The sequence below is a fragment of the Homo sapiens genome, chromosome 15 (genome assembly GCF_000001405.40).
Source record: "Homo sapiens chromosome 15, GRCh38.p14 Primary Assembly".
NCBI classification, from domain to species: domain Eukaryota; kingdom Metazoa; phylum Chordata; class Mammalia; order Primates; family Hominidae; genus Homo; species Homo sapiens.
The window spans coordinates 20,790,239-20,808,352 of NC_000015.10; the positions used below are offsets into that span (position 1 = coordinate 20,790,239).

At 42.0% G+C, this 18,114-nt stretch overlaps 1 pseudogene, besides 1 other annotated feature; it reads right to left on the bottom strand.

Moving 5' to 3' along the window:
* Positions 10,876-11,045: a silencer, noted in NCBI's record as "fragment chr15:21006443-21006612 (GRCh37/hg19 assembly coordinates)". NCBI's record gives its function as "represses an EF-1alpha promoter that drives an FKBP-Casp9 reporter gene in an ReSE screen in K562 erythroleukemia cells {active_cell/tissue: K562}" and the evidence as "EXISTENCE:reporter gene assay evidence [ECO:0000049][PMID:32094911]".
* Positions 13,553-14,648, bottom strand: LOC100287357 (CXADR, Ig-like cell adhesion molecule pseudogene; annotated as a pseudogene).

Sequence of the window (18,114 nt, forward strand, 5' to 3'; positions counted from 1 at the left end):
AGAATCTTGGTCTGTTAGTCTGTATAATAACATAAGCATCTTTTGTGGGATTAATAGTTTTTCCAAAGCATGCCTGGGATGTTTGCATAATATTCTAGTGTTTAAATATGTTGCTTATTGCCAGGTGTGGTGGCTCATGCCTGTAATCCCAGCATTTTGGGAGTTCGAGACAGATGGATTGCCTGAGCTCAGGAGTTTGAGTCCAGCCTAGGCAACACGGTGAAACCCCATCTCTACTAAAATACAAAAAAATAGTGAGGCGTGGTTGGTGTGCCTGTATTCCCAGCTACTTGGGAGGCTGAAACAGGAGCATTGCTTGAACCTGGGAGAAGGATTTTGCAGTGAGCTCAGATCGTGGCACTGCACCCCAGTCTGAGCAACAGAGTGAGACCCCATCTAAAAAAAATGTTGTTTATCAAACCATTTTCATCTTTGAAACATTTCAGGTCTCTTCTTTGGCTTTTTCGCATTATTAATAATACTGTGATAAACATCCTTCAGCAGAAACCTTCATAGGCTAGCTTCCTAGAAGTAGAGGTATTAGGTCCAAGGTTTTGAATTGTTTTAAAGCTATTGATTTATCTGGATAAAATTGCTTCCAGAGATATTGTCCCATTTTGCTTTCCAATCAGTGGATCTCACCTTCAGTATTTTGTGCAATTAAAAAAAATAATGTTTCTCCTTTTAAAGATTATATTTAAAATAGCTTTTAAATATGAAAAATTTGTATCTACAAATAAGAGATAGTGACAAAAAATAAATAATAAAATAAACACAAGAGCAGAAAGTAGATTGAAACATTAAAATTCAAATCACAGGCCTCTGTTATGGAGAAGACAGCTGCAATAGCTTTTCTGTTCTTTTATCTACATTGGTAGGTTCTTCTTTTAATTAATTTTTACCCCAACTTAAGTGCTGGCTGGTTTGGCAATTTGTTGCTGGGATGGAAAGAAGAAATGTGCACCTTGTCTTTTTCAGGTTATGAGAGCCTTGTCTGTCCTTGTGGTTGTGTGGGTGTCTGTTAGATTATTGTGAATACTGAGCTTTGAAAATAACCTAACAGTCAATCAATTGCTGAGCTTCTATTACCAGTAGTGGGACATAATGTACATCATGTAGATAGGCAGGCTTGTCACTGACAAGGGGGCTGACCCCTGGAAAACCAGCACAGAGCCAGCTCTTCTGTGTGAATCCACTCTCTCCAGAATATACCATAAGTCATGGAAAGAAATAAGAGTCTCAGGAAATGAGACTCTTACCGCGATGAGAGGTGAACCTTGAAATCTATTTTAGCAATTAGGAAGAGAAGTCCCATTTCGCATCCCAAATCAAGTAGAGGCCTGCTAGTCCAAACATAGTTTCTGAATAACCTGAGTCACCTGGGCCCTGAGGAATCCTGGCCTCTTAGTCCACATTTGCAGAAATATCAGGAGGTCAATCAGGAAGCTGGTTAGGCAGCTCAACACAGGGTCAGAAAGCTCCTAGGTATGCAAATAAATGTGCACACTGGAAATTGAGTTCTGTAATTTTTCCATGACCTAGAAAACTATGATGATGAAAATGTTCTACATTCATGCTGCCTAGTTCAGTAGCCACTAGCCACATGTGGCTATTGAGTAATTGAGATGTGGCTAGTACAAGTGACCAGCTAATGTTAAATTTTGTTTTATTTGAATTAATTTTAATTTTAATAGTCACCTGTGGCTATTGGCTACTGCACTGGATAGCACAGAGATGAGAAATAATAGAAACCTTTTTTGTTGTTGTTTCAATGGCTAACATTGTCAAAAGCTGAATTCCTGTTTTATGTAAAATTTTGGTTTATATTTTCTCAAAGAAGGGAAGTACAAAAAACAAAACAAAACAAAACAAAACAAAAGGATGATCAAGCAGAACTTTGGTAAGGAAGGGTGAAGCAGAGACACTTAACTCAGAGTGGGGAAAACAGCAATGACCTTGTTTGAAATGCAGCTCCTGTCTATGTGGCTCTCTGTGCTCTGTTGGGGTGTCAGTTCTTTACTTCTTAGTTAAAGCAGTTATTTCGGCGGTGCAATGCATTTTTGTTCAATAAGCATGACTTTTTACACAGCTGGTTTATCTCCAGTATGGAAACTCTCTGCTTAATCATCTTGATTTCTCTGGGCTTGTTCCTACTCTGCAGATTTAAGCATGACACTTGTATCTCTCTCTCCAGGCTCTGATCTAGGATGACAGCGTCTATGATGTGCCCATCTACAGAAATATGCAAATTGCAAATTTAGGAGGATTAAAAGAGGGCCCTGCAAAAGGCATCTACAGGCCCCATGTGCTGTTCACCTTTCTTATTTATTGGTGAAGTGAGTCCTCATCCATTTATTGGGCAGTTGCAAGCAAAGGAATTAACTATGACAATTCACCTTGATGTACAACAATTTAGTCTGTTTGGAGTTTCCACTGTTGGAAAAAACCTAGTTATCCTAATTAAGAACAGTTACAGATAGTATAGTGATAGCTTTTTTTTTTTTTTTTTTTTTTTTTTTTGAGACAGGGTCTTGCTCTGTCACTCAGATTGGAGTGGAGTAGCATGATCATGGCTCACTGCAGCCTCAACCTCCCTGGGCACAGTGATTCTCCCACCTCAGTCTCCTGAGTAACTGGGAATACAAGCACATGCCACCATGCCTGAATATTTTTTCTATTTTGTTTTGTTTTATTTGTTTTGTTTCGTTTTGTAGAGATGGGGTTTTGCCATGTCACCTAGGCTGGTATTGAACTTCTGGACTCAAGTGATCCTCTCTCCTCAGCCTCCCAAAGTACTGGGATTACAGGTGTGAACCAGCATGCCATGCCTATAGTGATACCTTTAAGTAACCCTCTCTTTTCTTCTTTTGGGCAATTTTTCAAAGCAACAGGCACTTTATTAAATAAGAAAGTTGATGTGCTTTCCTAATGCCTGCTAATAAAGTAAAGAACCAAGGAACCTCTGTGATTTCAATGAAATCCCTCCAGATGTTATAGGCTACTTGTTACAGACAGGTATGGTAGGAACTGTGGTCAAGCTGTGATAGGCAAATAGATCTTGCTGAGGAGGAAGAATGATTGGCTAAGATAATGTCCCAGGACAGCTGGCATACCTTTAGACACAGCTAAATTGAATGCTTTCTGAGGATGAGTGTATTAGTCTGTCTCACATGCTATAAAGACATACCTGAGAATGGGTAATTGAAAAAGAAAAGAGATTGAATTGGCTCACAGTTCTGTGGGCTGTACAGACTTATGCTTATAGGGAAGCCTCAGGAAACTTACAATCATGGCAGAAGGTGAAAAGGAAGCAAGCACATATTCACATGGCTGAAACGAGTCAGGGGAGGTGCTTTTTAACTTTTTAAACAAGCAGATCTTAGGATAACTTTATCATCAGACAGCACTAGGGGGATGAGGCTAAACCATTAGAAACCACCTCCATGATGCAAACACCTTCTACTAAGCCTCTCCTCCAACACTGGCAATTACAATTCCACATCAGATTGGGGATGGGGGGGTGCACAAATCCAAACCATATCAAGAAGCATGTTAAAAATTGAGGGAAGTTCTAATCAAATGACAAGTCAGGACACGGCATTCCATCAACATAACACTCCTCTCAATACATTCCAAAATGGGAGAAAGGAAAAAGTGCAAGGATGAAGAAGGGACACAGCAAAATGACAAGATGACTAACAAGATGACCCTTGTGGAAAGCATTTACTGATTCAACAACCAAATAATGAAGACAATAGAGCAAATTTGCTGAGTTTCTATGCTCTTTATGTTTATTAGGGAAGGGCAAAAGCCAGTCCCTCGACATTGTTACTGTTAATTAACATCATCACTGCCTGCTCTTAAGTGTCTAGATACTTTCAAGAATCTAGTATTATCTTCACTTAAATGTTTCTTGGATGTGCCCTGTCATGCATGTGATATTGCAAAAAGATTCTACATTAACCACAGCAAGATGGCTATGTAATAATTGGGATCACTTTAGGGGAGCATATTTCTACCACATTTTGAGATGGAAAATGAAGTAAAGATATCCATTTGTCAATTTCTTCCACATTATGCCAAACATTCAAAGAGATTATTTTATTTATTTCAAAGATGTACACATGTTGAAATTAAAATTTAAATTAAGAAAATTTATAAACTGAGTCAAAAGAAAAGTAAGCGAGGCAGTTCTGCATGCCCTGAAGTGTCAGGCATATATGACTAAAGTATTCGGCATTTGGCCAGGTGTGGTAGCTCATGCTGTCATTCCAGGATGTTGAGAGGCTGAGGCAGGTGGATTGCTTGAGCTCAGAACTTTGAGACCAAGCAAGGCAACATGGTGGAACCCTATCTCTATGAAAAATATGAAAATTAGCCAAGCATGGTGGTGCTCGCCTTTTCATACCAGCTACTGGAAAGGCTAAGGTGAGAGGATCATTTGAACCCAGGAGGTCAAGGCTGCAGTAAGCTCTGGTTGCACCACTGCACTCCAACCTGGGTGCAAGAGGGGGACCCTCTGCCCAGGACTCTTGGGATATGACTATACCCATAGGGACTGCCCGCAGTAACCTCACATTTGAGTGGAAGTGGAGATCATATGTACCTGTACCAATATGTAGTGAAAAAGGAAAACATAAGAAATCATGGCAGAAATGGCACAAAGTATAAAAGAGGCTTGGTGTAATTGAGAGAGGCATTCTGGTGATAAAATTTGAACTGATTTCTGGAGAATGGGTTGAATTCCAATAGAGGGAGATGGACCAAAGTTAACTCTGATGAGGGAAATGTCTTGAGCAAAATCTAGAAAAGGGAAACATGCTCATTTTAAGTGTTAATGAGGGTCCAGTTGGGGTACAGTGCAGGAAGAGAGTTCTAGTGAAAAGGTAGTTGGTCTGATAGGACAGGGTCTTGCAGGCAGAGGCAGATACTATCATTATTCCATTGTTCAGGTTGGAAAACAGACACAGAGAGCCCAAGGTCGCAAAGCCAGAAAGTGAATCTGGGCAGTCTAGTGGTAGCACCCTCTTCTTAAATGATCTATTAAAGGGCCTCTTCTCCAGGCACTCTAAAACTCTTCTCCATCTTTAGCTCCCCCAGAGTACAGTGAGGCCCCCTGTCTACCTCACAGGATGGGGTCTCAGAAAAGCAACAGATCCCAACTCATACTAGCTTTTAAATAAAAAAAAAAAAAAACCTTGCAAAACAAGAAGTGCAGAGGTTGGGAGAGAGCCAGCACTGGTTAATTCAGCAGCTCAACAATAAATCCAAGACCTGGGTATTGGTTCACCTCTCCACACCACCATCCTCATGGGCCAGCTTCTACCTCCTCCTGAATGCTGTGTCTTTGCCTAGTTTTCTCCCTGATTTTAGCTCAAGTGCTGCTTCCTGGGGGCAACCTTTCCTGCCTCCCTCTTGGGGTCAGTCCACCTTCCCAGGCTCTTGCAGCATCCCTGGGTCTGCTGAACTTTCCCTTGTTACATAATTCTGTGACTAACATCACCTCTTTCTGTTAGACTCTCAGCTCCACTAGAGAAGAAATTCTGTGCATTTTTGCTCACTATTGAACCCTGGAGTCTACTACTCAAATATTTGTCAAATGAGTAAATGGTAGCTCTGTGCAGGGCCAAGGAACACAAGAACCACAAGAAACATGCAATCTGCCAAAATACTCATTACAGCTCACTCTCCTCTGGTGACATTTCCCTGAGGCACATTCCTGTTGGTTTCTTCCCCTCAAGAAGCATTCTTCTTTCTCCTTCCTATAAAAGCCAGGATTTTCTCAGATAGCCACACCATGCCCCATGCAAAGAGATTTGGATTATTCTATCATCTTGAGGCATTTCTGTGGAAACTGCTGTCAGTCCAGGTGGCCCATGACCTAAGCTGACCCAAGCCGACTGAAGGGAGGACGTATTCTATGCACCCTATGCAGTTCCACAGGGTGCTGGTTGTCCCGGCTGCTGCTGGTGGTCTTCATGTAGCCAAGGTATCACTAGTGCATATGGAGAAAACAGAGCAACTGGAGAGAAACCGAGTAGGTAAAAGTGGGCAGGGCTTGGTGATGTTTGGGGATATGATATGAGGGATAAGACAGAGGATGGTCTTAGGAAAATCTCCTGTATTTTCCTTTTGGACAATGGTATAAATGAATAAAAGTTCCAATCACTGGGATAGAAAACACTTGGAAAATATGAGATTCATTCAGGCAAGCCTTTCATACACTATTCCATAATCAGTTTCATAAGTGAAAGGGAGTCAGAACTCATTTCTACCTTGTTTGCTTCTATCATACTGTGTTGTACCCTGTTGGATCTACTTATCACATTCCTCCTGCTAGTGGACTTACCTGCTAATGTTTGCACTTCTGCCTTGCCAGCATGGAACCTCTGAGACAGCAGGAGCAGTGTGTGTGCATGCATGTGTGTGTGCACTTTTGTGTGTGTGTGTGTGTGTGTAATTGGATTCCCCACAGCACATTATTGTTTTATCCATAGTAAATGGTGGATGAATATTTGCAGGATTTAGCTGGACTGCAGCATTGTGGAGGTCAGATAACCACATTTTGACAGACAAGTTGCATTCTAACCTTGAAGCAGACAAAATGCCCATCTTATCAGCCTCGCTCACATCAGCTGTGCCTTTCCTTTGTGGTTGTATGTTTATGAAGCTCATCCAACAAGCTTCTTAAAAAGGGGATTGGACCTTCGCCAGCCTCAGGCTGCATGGCAGGGTGACTGTGTCTTTGAATATCCCAGATGGAGGCTGGTCACCCTTTTGTCTTTGGGTGAATAGACTACTCAGGAAGGCAGGGATGCAGGCACCCCCATTTCTTGTTAATGAGTTTGCAATTTATTTTGGCAGATCTAAAATAATAATTCAAAGGCAGTGTAGAAGAAGATGGGGACATTACTTTTGTTTAATATTGTTATGACATGACATGTGCTTACAGAAAGAGAGGCAAGCCACCATCTTCAAGGGAGGGCATAGTCATCGACTGTGATCCTGGTGTCCATGTTGGAATATCATGGCAACTGTCTCCCAGCACTGAACTCGATGACTTCTGCTGCATTCCCAGTGTTAGCTGAGTTGCTTAATTTACTTTCTTCAACGCCATGTGTGAAAGGGAAGCTAGAAAACTGCACTATGTATGGCTTCGTGCACTGAAAATTTGACATTATCAAAGGAGGCATGATCTTGTCTCTCTCCATCCCTCTCCAAATGTTTTCTATAATTATATTCAGAGGCTCATGGGTCTTACCATGGGTGATCAAGGAAGGGCTGGTAACTCTTTCAACCACAGGTAAAATATTACAAACATCTGAAATATGCATTTTTACAGGTGAGAGAAATGAGGCCAGAAAAGTTAAGTGCATCATGTTGAGTACAATTTTATTTGGTGATCAGGCAGCCCTGGGTTCAAATCCTGGCTCTATTGCTACCAATTAAGCCACTTAACTCCATCTGAGCCTCAGGTTGCCCATCTGCATAATAAGCAGTAATAGCAGCTGTCGTGCAGGACTACTGTGAGAATTACAACTCAGGCAATGATCATGATATTTCTTGGCACAGAGGTGTTCACTACCTAGGTAGTGTTATTATTATTAGGCCTAAAGTCACAAACGGAGTTTTTGAGAAAGCTGGAATGAAAACTTGTTCCTCTCAGCTCTGAGCTTATTAGAGCACACCGTTTTGCATGAATAAAGCAGCCCTGAAGTCTCTCAGGGGAGGGTGTTTGTAACATCTGTTCAGGCACGGTTTCATTTGCTATATACCCAGAGACTAGCACGGTACAAGTTGTGGGGAGATACTCATGTGAGTTGGCGGACTTTGGGTCAAATATTTTCCCTAAACCCAGGTCTCTATGGCTTTCTACAGAACACTCTGCATCCTTCTAAGGGACACTGGAAGAGCAAATGGATTGTACAGTGAGTTACAAATAAAATGGCCAATCTCAGCATGAAAGGCTGGGGGTGTTACCTGAATGAGGATGCAGACCACTCCATCTACATACAAGCAAACCTAAGTGACCATGAGCCTGCCGGAAAGAAATCACATGCTATGTAAAGGCTTAGTAACAGTGATGAATATTTGAACTTGAACTCCAGCTCCAGAGCAGTTCAGTGGCCTCTCTTCCAGGAACAGAAGCCAAAGCAGCTCAGGATTCTTGAAGGCTCTGAAAGGTCAATGACAATCCTGGTATATGTCAAGACTTTCCCACCAAAGAAGGGCTCCATGTGTAGAGACTTAGAAAGGATTCCCAACTTCCGCCCCTTCAAAACCAGAAACAAAGGTGGGGGACAGCCCAATTAAGTGGCCCTAGAGATTTGCCCAGGAGCTGGAGCCCTCCGGAGAAGTCCAGTTTTCCTATGCAGGGAGAGGACTGGGAGTTCTCTGGTCACAAGCGTTCTGCCTTTGTTTTCATGAAGCTATGTCTCTTACCTGGTAAGAAAAATGGAACTTCATGCAGCTGCTGAAAACTTTAACCAAAACCCAAAGATGCTGGCACAAAGAAAGGAGGCCTGAAGAAAACAAGTGACCATGGAAACACATTTAGCTCTTAATCTGACCAATTTCTCATGGGCCAGGCCTGGTGCCAGGAATGCTGTGATGAATAAGGCCTGAGCTGAGATTGTGAGGATGAGACGGAGTCCACCCTGTGGGGATCTGGGATGATAGAAGGGCTCCGCAGATAGAGGACCCGGTGGCCAGAAGTTCTGCTGAGTGGAAAAGGGCTCGGAGTAACTGAGGTCAGCTGGATTCCTTAAACATTGCCCAGAGCCCTTGAAGCCATCTAAGGGCACACTTCTCAGGCCTGCTCCGAACCACACTCAACTGGGAATCTTTTAAGGACAGCTGCTCTGTTAGGCTTGCCTGAGATGGTGCAGTTTTCCCCCGCGGCGGCAGAGGCACAGACAGTTAAGAATGCAGGAGCGGGGCCTCACAATGCCTTGGACTAGGGCAAAGGAGGACCCCCGCCTCTCCCCTCCCGGGGCTAAGACATGGGAGGACCCCGACCGGTGGATCCATTGACTCTGGCACCAGAGGATCCCCGCTCTCCAGCGCCCTAGACTGAGGCAACAGAAGACCTCAGAACTGCTCCATCCTGAACTAGAGCACAGTGGGACCCGCGACCTGCCGTGGTCTCAGGCACTGGAGGACACCTGCAACGCCGTGCGCTAGACTATGCTACTGAAGGACCTCTACCGCGGCTCAGCCCTGGACTAAGGCACCGGAGGATCCCCGCCCTGCCCCGCCCCGCGGTGTCCTGGACTGTGCACTGCAGAACCCCCACCCTTCCACACCCTGGACTCTGGCTCCCGAGGACCTTGGCCCCGGCTCGCCCTGAACTACTCCTGCCCCTCAGCGCCCTGGACTGTGGTTCCAGAGGACCTGGTCCTGGGGCAACTTGTGCTACCGCGTGGACTCCAGGACCCCAGTCCTTCCACGCCCTAGACCAAGACACGGGAGAACCTCTGACTCGCCGCCCCCGAACTAGGGCACCAGAGGACCCACACCTTGCCGTGCCCCGGACTACAGCACGGAAGGACCCCCGATCCGCCGGGCACTGGGCTCCTGCACAGAGGGACCCCCGCCATGGAGGTCTGGACTACCCCTGCCCCACCGCACCCTGGACTACTGCACGCCAAGACCCTCGCCTGAACACGCCCTACACTCTGGCATGGGGGAACCCGGCCCCGCAGAGCCCTGGACTCTGGCATTGGAGGACTCCTCGGCTAGGTTCTGGACTCCTGCACCAGAGGACTCCTGCCCTGCCACACCCTGGACACCTGCACTAGAGAACCCTGCCCCGTCGCCCCCTAGACTATGGCACGGGAGGACCCCTGCCACCGACTTCGGCACGGTAAGACCCCTGACCCGCCTTGCACTGGATTCCAGCACTGGAGGACCCCCTGCCACGGCGCTCTCTGGACTACCCCTGCGCCACCGCGTCCTGCACTACAGCACAGCAGGACCGCCGTCCCACCGCGCACTGGACTGAGGCACAGCAGCACCCGGGCCTCGTGGTTGGTGGACCGCAGGACGAGGTGACCCCCCGCCCCGCTGCGCGTTGGACTATGGCACAGGAGGACCACCATTCCCGCATGCCCTGGACCACTGCAGGACAGGTCCCCCACTCCGCAGCGGCCTGGAATATGGCACTGCAGGACCCCCGCCCTGCTGCTCCACGGACTCCACCACTGAAGACCCTCGCCCCCCTGCACCCTGGACAAAGGCACGGGAGGACCCGGCTTCACCGCCCAGTGGGCTATCACATAGGAAAACCCCCAGCCCACCCCCATCGCACCAGAGACTCTGACAAGAGAGAACCCCTGCCCCCTGCTCCCCGGACTACAGCAAGGCAGGAACCACCCTCCTCCAGGATCCTCACTATGGCAACTGTGGAACCCCGCCCTGGTACGCCCTGGACTAAGTCACCGAAGGACCCCGACCCCACCACACCGTGAACTCCAGCACTGGAGGACCATTGCCTTACTGCGGACTCAAGCACTGGACTATCGCAGGGCTGGATCCCTGTCCCGCCATGCCCTACACTATGGCACGGGAGGACCCAGCCTCACTGAGCTCTGGACTCCAGCACCGGAGGACACCTACACGGAGGACTCCTGCTCCGCCACGTCCTGGACTCCTGCACAAGAGAACCCCCGCCCCGCGGCACCCTGGATATAGCAAGGCAGGAATCCCGCCCTGCAGTGTTCTGGACTGCGGCACCTGAGAATCCATGCCCCATCGCGCCCTGGACTGCTGCTCCACAGGACTCCTGTTCCACTGCACCCTGGACTATGGCACCAGAGGACCCAGCTCCCGGCAGCCTGGACTATGGCACCAGAGGACCCAGCCCCTCGCATCCTGGACTATGGCACCAGAGGACCCAGCCCCCTGGCGTCTTGGACTAAGGCACAGTAGGACCCCTCAGCATCGTGTATTCCTGCACAGGAGGACCCTCGCAGGGCTGCGTCCTGGACTGAGCTACTGAAGGAGCCTCACCCCTGCCTCACCCTGGTCTAAGGCACTGGAGAACTCTTGCTCCGCAGAGCTGCGGACTCTTGCACGAGAGAACCTGCGCCCAGCCGTGCCCTGGACTGTGGCACAGTAGGGCCCACACCGGGCCATGGACTCCTGTACTGGAGGAAGATTAGTGATAAATGTCCAGGTTTACAAGTTGAAAAGTAGCAGTCAATGTGCTACAATGGATGGATTTGATGTAAAATTACAAATGCTGAAAACATTATGTGTAATTGCCTAGCCAGATCAATTACACAAGACAAAGAAATAAAAGAAATCCATATAGGGAAGGAAGAGGTAAGATTGTTTCTGTTTTCTGAAAATATAATCTTAAGATACAGAAAATCTTTTTTTATTATTAATGTTCTATTTACTTATTTTTATAATATTTTATAAATAAACTTTATTCATATAAAACAGGCCAAACATCTGACATTCAAAAATGGCTACTGTTATAAAATCAGAAACATAGTCAGAGTGTTGGGAATATTGAAATTTCTAAATCTTTATGAATAACACAATCACTTAAGTTATATCCACAAAGAACAGAAAAGAGGCAAGCTTGAAAATATGAGGATAGAAAGATGTCACAGTGATGTGTTTTTAGAATCAGTACCTTCACCTCTAAGCAACTTTCAGGTAGGTGATAGCTAGCTCATAGGCACCAGAAATTCATAACAGAAATTAAATTACCCAAAAGGCACAGAAGAAAATGTTAACACAAGTATAAAAGTAATTTTATGTAAGGTTAAAACCTATTTTTAAAATGCTTCCAAATATGTAAAACTATACACAAGTCCATTACACATTCAGCTTAAGTTTACCATTAAAAAGTGTACACACAATACTGTAACTGTAAATACATGCCACCGTTTATAATGTAGCATTTACCACCACAGCACCCAAAGATATTAACAGAAACCAACTCCCCACTAAAATCTAGGGAAAGGTTTTAGAGCTAGTGAAATAATTTATTGCAGACCGTATTTATTATAAAGAAACTATTGGCTCATTCTACTGTATCCACACTCCCTCACAATCTTAAGGGAGATACAATAAATCCACTTTCTTCTCCTAAAATGATATTTAGCACATTTGACAAGGAGGAGTGGTTGTTTTATTCCTTTTTCTTATCTTTTTTTCTTTCTTTCTTTTTTTTTTTTTAAGAATAAATCACTTTCACAAAACTGAGACTCAAACTTTTTTGAAGCTCAGCTTGATTTGCTGGAACTACACAGAGACATGTTTGATCACACAACAGCAACCGTACATCCTCCCAAGTCTGGAATACGGAACTGATGGAGGACACTTACTTGCTTAAAATGTATTTGATTATTCTGCATTTATGATAAAAATATCATCCAGGGATCATATTCAAGAGGGTAAATTTAGGATTACATGTTTCTAGAACATATAATATGTAATGCCATCCAAAACCAACAACAAACAACATAGAGCACTGAAACTGAAGAGCCACTTAAAATTTAGAATTAGGAAATTTCAATCTATAATTGTCAAACAATAAGTGAGTTATAATATTTTTCTAATTAGAAAAATATCACCTAAAGTGGAAAGCCAGCATTTAGTTGGGGACTATGAGATACTACATCCTTGGTCTGGCTGGCCACCATTTTAAAGACCACCACAGATCTCAAGGCATGAGACCTCTCACCAACAAAATCTATCCCTGCTATTGCACCTAGTGCCATCTCAATATGTGGCAGACAGCAAATGTTCTAACTTAATCTGATAGATGCTCCTTTAGCATATAAAAGAGCTTGCTAAGTCCCTATTACCTGTAGCAGTCTATCAACTAAATATTTAAGAAGTCATTTCATAGGCAAGGTTTATGAATGACTTAGAAGTAAAATTAGTAATTTCTAAACCACTGTAGTGTTTTCTATGTTTTTAGAGATATTCCTAACACAGAGTTTTCCGAGGAGCTGTGAAAACAAGTACAAACGTACATAAGTAATTTTGTCAGGGATGTTTCTGTACTAATTTGGGGGAGACTTGTGGGCCATAAATAAATGAGATACACATCCTAAAAATAATGGTAAAAATTATCAAGTACCACTTTCAGATGGTTACTCAAGTATCAACTTGGTATGCAAGTAAGTTCACCGATTTCTTCACCTATGATTTCATACTCAAAGTGCTACATCTTACTTAGGTACTGATAACATTTAGAAACCTTTATAATCAGCCTCTTAAAGAAAATCCAGCCTTTTCAGATGGTAAACTTGTCTTTACTAACTTTAATGCCCGTAACTATTTTGATATAACCAAACAAAAATTTTTAAAAATATATTCCTTACAGCTCCTGATTAACTTATTTTTTGATACATTCTGAGGCTAGTAACAAAATTTAGACCAGAATAGGTTTTCATATATCAAAAAAAGGAAAGGAACACGGAGAGCACAGATGAGACGTATGGAGGCTCTATACTATAGACCCATCCTTGCTCTGTGCGGGAATCATCACAGGAATCGCGCCCATTCGACTTAGATTAGGGGCAGCTACCTTAGCAGGTGGGAGAGTCGGACTCTGAGGAGTGCGTTCAAAGTCTTCACTTGGTACTTGTTTATACTGAGTCTTGGAATATCCTTCCATGTTGGAAGGAGTTATGGATCCCAGGGATGAATGATTACTGCCTATGTAGCTTCTGGCAGTGGACGTGCGGCTCTTTGGAGGCGGCACATCTTCCTTGATATCGTGATGAACTTCCTTTTCATATTTTTCTTCTCTGCGCTTTTTACGACAGCAAAAGATGATAAGACCAATGAGCACTAGAGCAAGCAAAGTTCCTATAATGGCTCCTGCAATTAGTCCAGCTTTATTTGAAGGAGGGACAACGTTTACACGCAACAGGCACTGATCAGAGCCCACTCTGTTTCTGATGTACAGCTGTATGTCCCAGAGTACTCAGAAGAAGCATTTTTATAGATATAACAGATGAAGTCATTTCTGCTAACCATGAAGTGGGCATTTTCTGTGAGTCAGACAATTTTTGCCACTCATACTGTAATGGAAGTGAACCTTCTTTTGGTTCACATTTTAATTTAAAGTCACTTCCAATTTCTTCTGATCCATCAACGTAACATCTTGTACCTGAAGGCTTACCAAGAACTACCAGCTGAATCTTCTTATTTGCAACACCAGGAGCTCTTTTCACTTTGCACTGATCTGTGCCAATATCTGACAGCTGAAAATTCGTTACATTTATTGATGCATCACCAGATTTGAGATCATTACTCTTAAAATGTACTCGGCCTTTCAGATCTGGATAGTAGTCATCATAAATTTTGTCTCCAGAATATAAAATAATCACTTGATCCACCTTCTGATTATCAGCTGGTGATATCAGCCACTCGATGTCCAGTGGTCCCTGGTCTTCAGGACTAAGCGTAAATTTGCATGGCAGATAGGCAGTTTCCCCTTTGGCTTTTTCAATCATCTGCTCAGGAGTAGTGATACTCCAACCTCTGATGAAATCCGCGACTCTGCACAGGAGCACGAAGCGCAGCAGGAGCGCCATGGTGGCTGCCGTGCCGTGGGCGGCGGCTGCAGGTAGGCGGCTCTCGCTCCAGGTCCTAGGCTCCCCGCGCCTGGCGCACTCAAGGTAGAGAAAATCTTAAAGACTCCACCACAATAAACGGTTAAAGCTGATAAAGAAATTCAATAAAGTTAATAGTTACAAAATCATACAGATAGCATTATTGTTTCTATACATTAATGACAAACTATTACCTGAAAAATAAATTAATAAGGCAATTCAATTTATAATAGAATCAAAACAGATATAAAAATATGTAAAAGACTTAGGAGTAAATTTAATCAAGAATGTGAAAGATTTGCACACTGAAAACTATAGCACATTGATGAAAAAAGTTAAAATGGCATAAATAAATGGAGAAACATCCTTTATTGATTGATTCAAAAATTAGTATTGTAAAAGTGTCAATGCTACCCAAAGCAACCTACAGATTAAATGCAACCACTATCAAATTCCCAGAAATAGAAAAATTACTGCTAAAATTTGTATGAAACCACAAAAGACCCTGACTAACCAAAGCAATCTTGAACAAAAAGAATAAAGCTGGAGGCATCAGACTACCCGATTCCAAACTATATTACAAAGCTATAGTAATTAAAACAACATAGCAGTGGCATAAAAACAGACATGTAGAACAGTGCAAAGGGATATAGAACACGTAAATAAATCCGTATGTCTGTGGTCAATTGGCTTTTTGATAAAATAACTAAAAATACACAATGAAGAAAGAAAATTATTTTCAATAAATGGTGTAGAAAAAACTGACTATCCACATACAGAAGAATAAAATTTGACTTTTCTTTTGCTCTTTATACAAGCATGAAATCAAAATTAAAGACTTAAATGTAAAACTACTACAAGGAAATATAGAAGAAGACTGTATGACATTGGCCTGAGCTATGATTTTCTGTAGATTATTCCAAAAGCACAGGCAACAAAAGCAAAAACACATGAATGAGATTGCATAAAACTAAAAAGCTTTTCCACAGGAAAAGAAGTGATAATAGAATGAAGAGAACCCACAAATGGGATAACATTTTTAAACCATACATCAGATAAGGGGCTCATATAATAATATATAAGTAACTCAACCTACTCAAACATAAGAATAAAACTATGCTTATTAAAAAAAATAAGCAAAGAACCAGAATAGACATTTCGTAAGGCATACAAAAGGCCAACAGGTACATGAAAAAATCATAAACATTTCTAATTATCAGAGAAATGCAAATCAAAGCCACAATGAGATATCACCTCACACATTTTACTAGGGCTATTATAAAAAAAGATGGAAGATAAGTGTTGATGAGGATGTGGAGAAAAAGAAACCCTGTGCACTGTTGGTAAGAATGGAAATTAGCACAGCCATCTTGGAAAACAGTATGAAGCTTCCTCAAGAAATTATAAATATATTTACCCTATGATCCATCAATCCCACTTCTGGATACGTGTCCAAAGGAATTTTAATCAGTATGTCAAAAACAGACATCTGCAATTTCATGTTCATTGCAGCATTATTCATAATACCCATGAATTAGAAACAACCTAAGTGCTTATCAACTGAAGACTAGATAAAAATATGTGGAAAAATTGGAACCCTTCTACACCACTGGTGAGACTTTAAAATGTAAAGCAGTCTCGCAGTTCTTCAAATGGTTAAACATAGAGTTATCACGTGACCCAGCAATTCCACTCCTATGTGTTTACCAAAAAGAAAATAAAACAAATGCTACACAAACAGTAGTACACAAATGTTTATAGCAACACAAAGTAGAAAACAACAGAAATGTTCATCAGCTGAGGAGTGGATAAATAAAATGTGGTGTGTCCATAAAATAGAATCTTATTTAGCAAGAAAAGGTAAAAAACTGTTAATGCATGCTCCAAAATGGATGAACATTAAAAATATGTTAGGTGAAAGATGTGAGTAAAAAGTGACTATGTGTTATTATAATTCCATTTATGTGAAATGTCCAGAATGGGCAAATTCATAGTCAGAAAGTAGACGAGTGGTTGCCTAGACTAGGAGGGGTTTAAAAAAGACTGGAGAAAATGGGGAAAGATTGCTAATGGGTGCAAGTCTCTTTTAAGGAAAATAAAATGTTCTAAAATTATATTATGATGATTATTTGTCCATCCAGTTAATATACTAAAAGAATTTGAAGTTTGTACTTTAAATGAGTGAATTACACAATGTATAAATTATATCTCAATAAAGCTGTGGAAAGTTAAAAGTATATGTAGGATGCATACAAAAATACTACTTATCTTTATAAATGAATGAAAATCTGTCATTTGCAAAAACATGGATGAATTTAGAGGACATTATGCTAAGTAAAATAAGCCAGACACAGAAAGACAAATATCTCATAGTATCACTTATATGTGAAATCCAAAACTGTGCACTCATAGAAGTTAAGAATAGAATGGTGGTTTATCAGAGGCTGAGCAGGGTGGGGGGCAGGGGTGGAAAAAGGGGAAATATTGAATGGGATAATGTTTCAGTTAGGAGAAAGACATTCTGGTGATATGGTGCACAGCAAAGTGACTGCAGTTACTCATAATGTAGTGCATATCTTAAAAGTGCTAAAATAGTACATTTTAAATGTTTCACCATAATGTAATACATATCTGAGGTGAAGGATACGTTATTTAGCCTAATTAGTCCATTTCACAATATCTACATGTATCGTACCACATTGTACCCTATATATATTTATTTATCAATAAAATCAACATTTTAAAAAGTGAGGAACACAGATGTGCTAGATCTTCATCTAAAGACATTTCTGAGAAAAGTGTATCTGTTTTCCTTCAGAAGAAATTTACACTTAATAGATATTATGGTAACTAAAGTAAGGCAGATAATTTTGGCCATCAGCTTTTATTGTGGGATAATCTCTTTTTGCTGACCTTGTAAAAGCTGTGGCATATTAACAAGTAGGAACATTTTTTTTATCATGATCAGGTAAAGATTCTGCAAGTTTCTATTTTGAATATTTCCCCAGGAATCACAAAGTGTGAATGCCTTTTATTTCAGAGGTCTAGCCCTAAATGGTTTAGTCAATTACATCATGCATTCTGAAATAAGTACTGGTGCATTTGGGAAGGTACTATATATAATTGTGTTTTAAATTTAACTATCATATAAATCTACTTTTCTAGTTAACAGTTTATATTTTATAGAGGCCCTCCATATACATAAGAGCTTTTCTGATAGTATATCCATTAGATTTCAAAGATAAGTAAAGGAACAATTTTGCTTTTATTTATTATTATTATTATTTTTTAAGGCTAGTCAAGTGAAGCAGTGGGAGTGGAGAAGGAACTGCTTTAATTTTTATATGTTGGTGTTACAGGCTATATGTGACAGGCTGTATATTTTTCTGCTGAATTTTAGAAACAAAATGAAATATTTATTTCCTATTTCATTAGATTTAGGGATGATGATTACATTGAGGGGTTGGGACTAGACTGAAGGCACCACATCATCAATCACTTGGAAACAATATTTTGCCTATGTGTTATG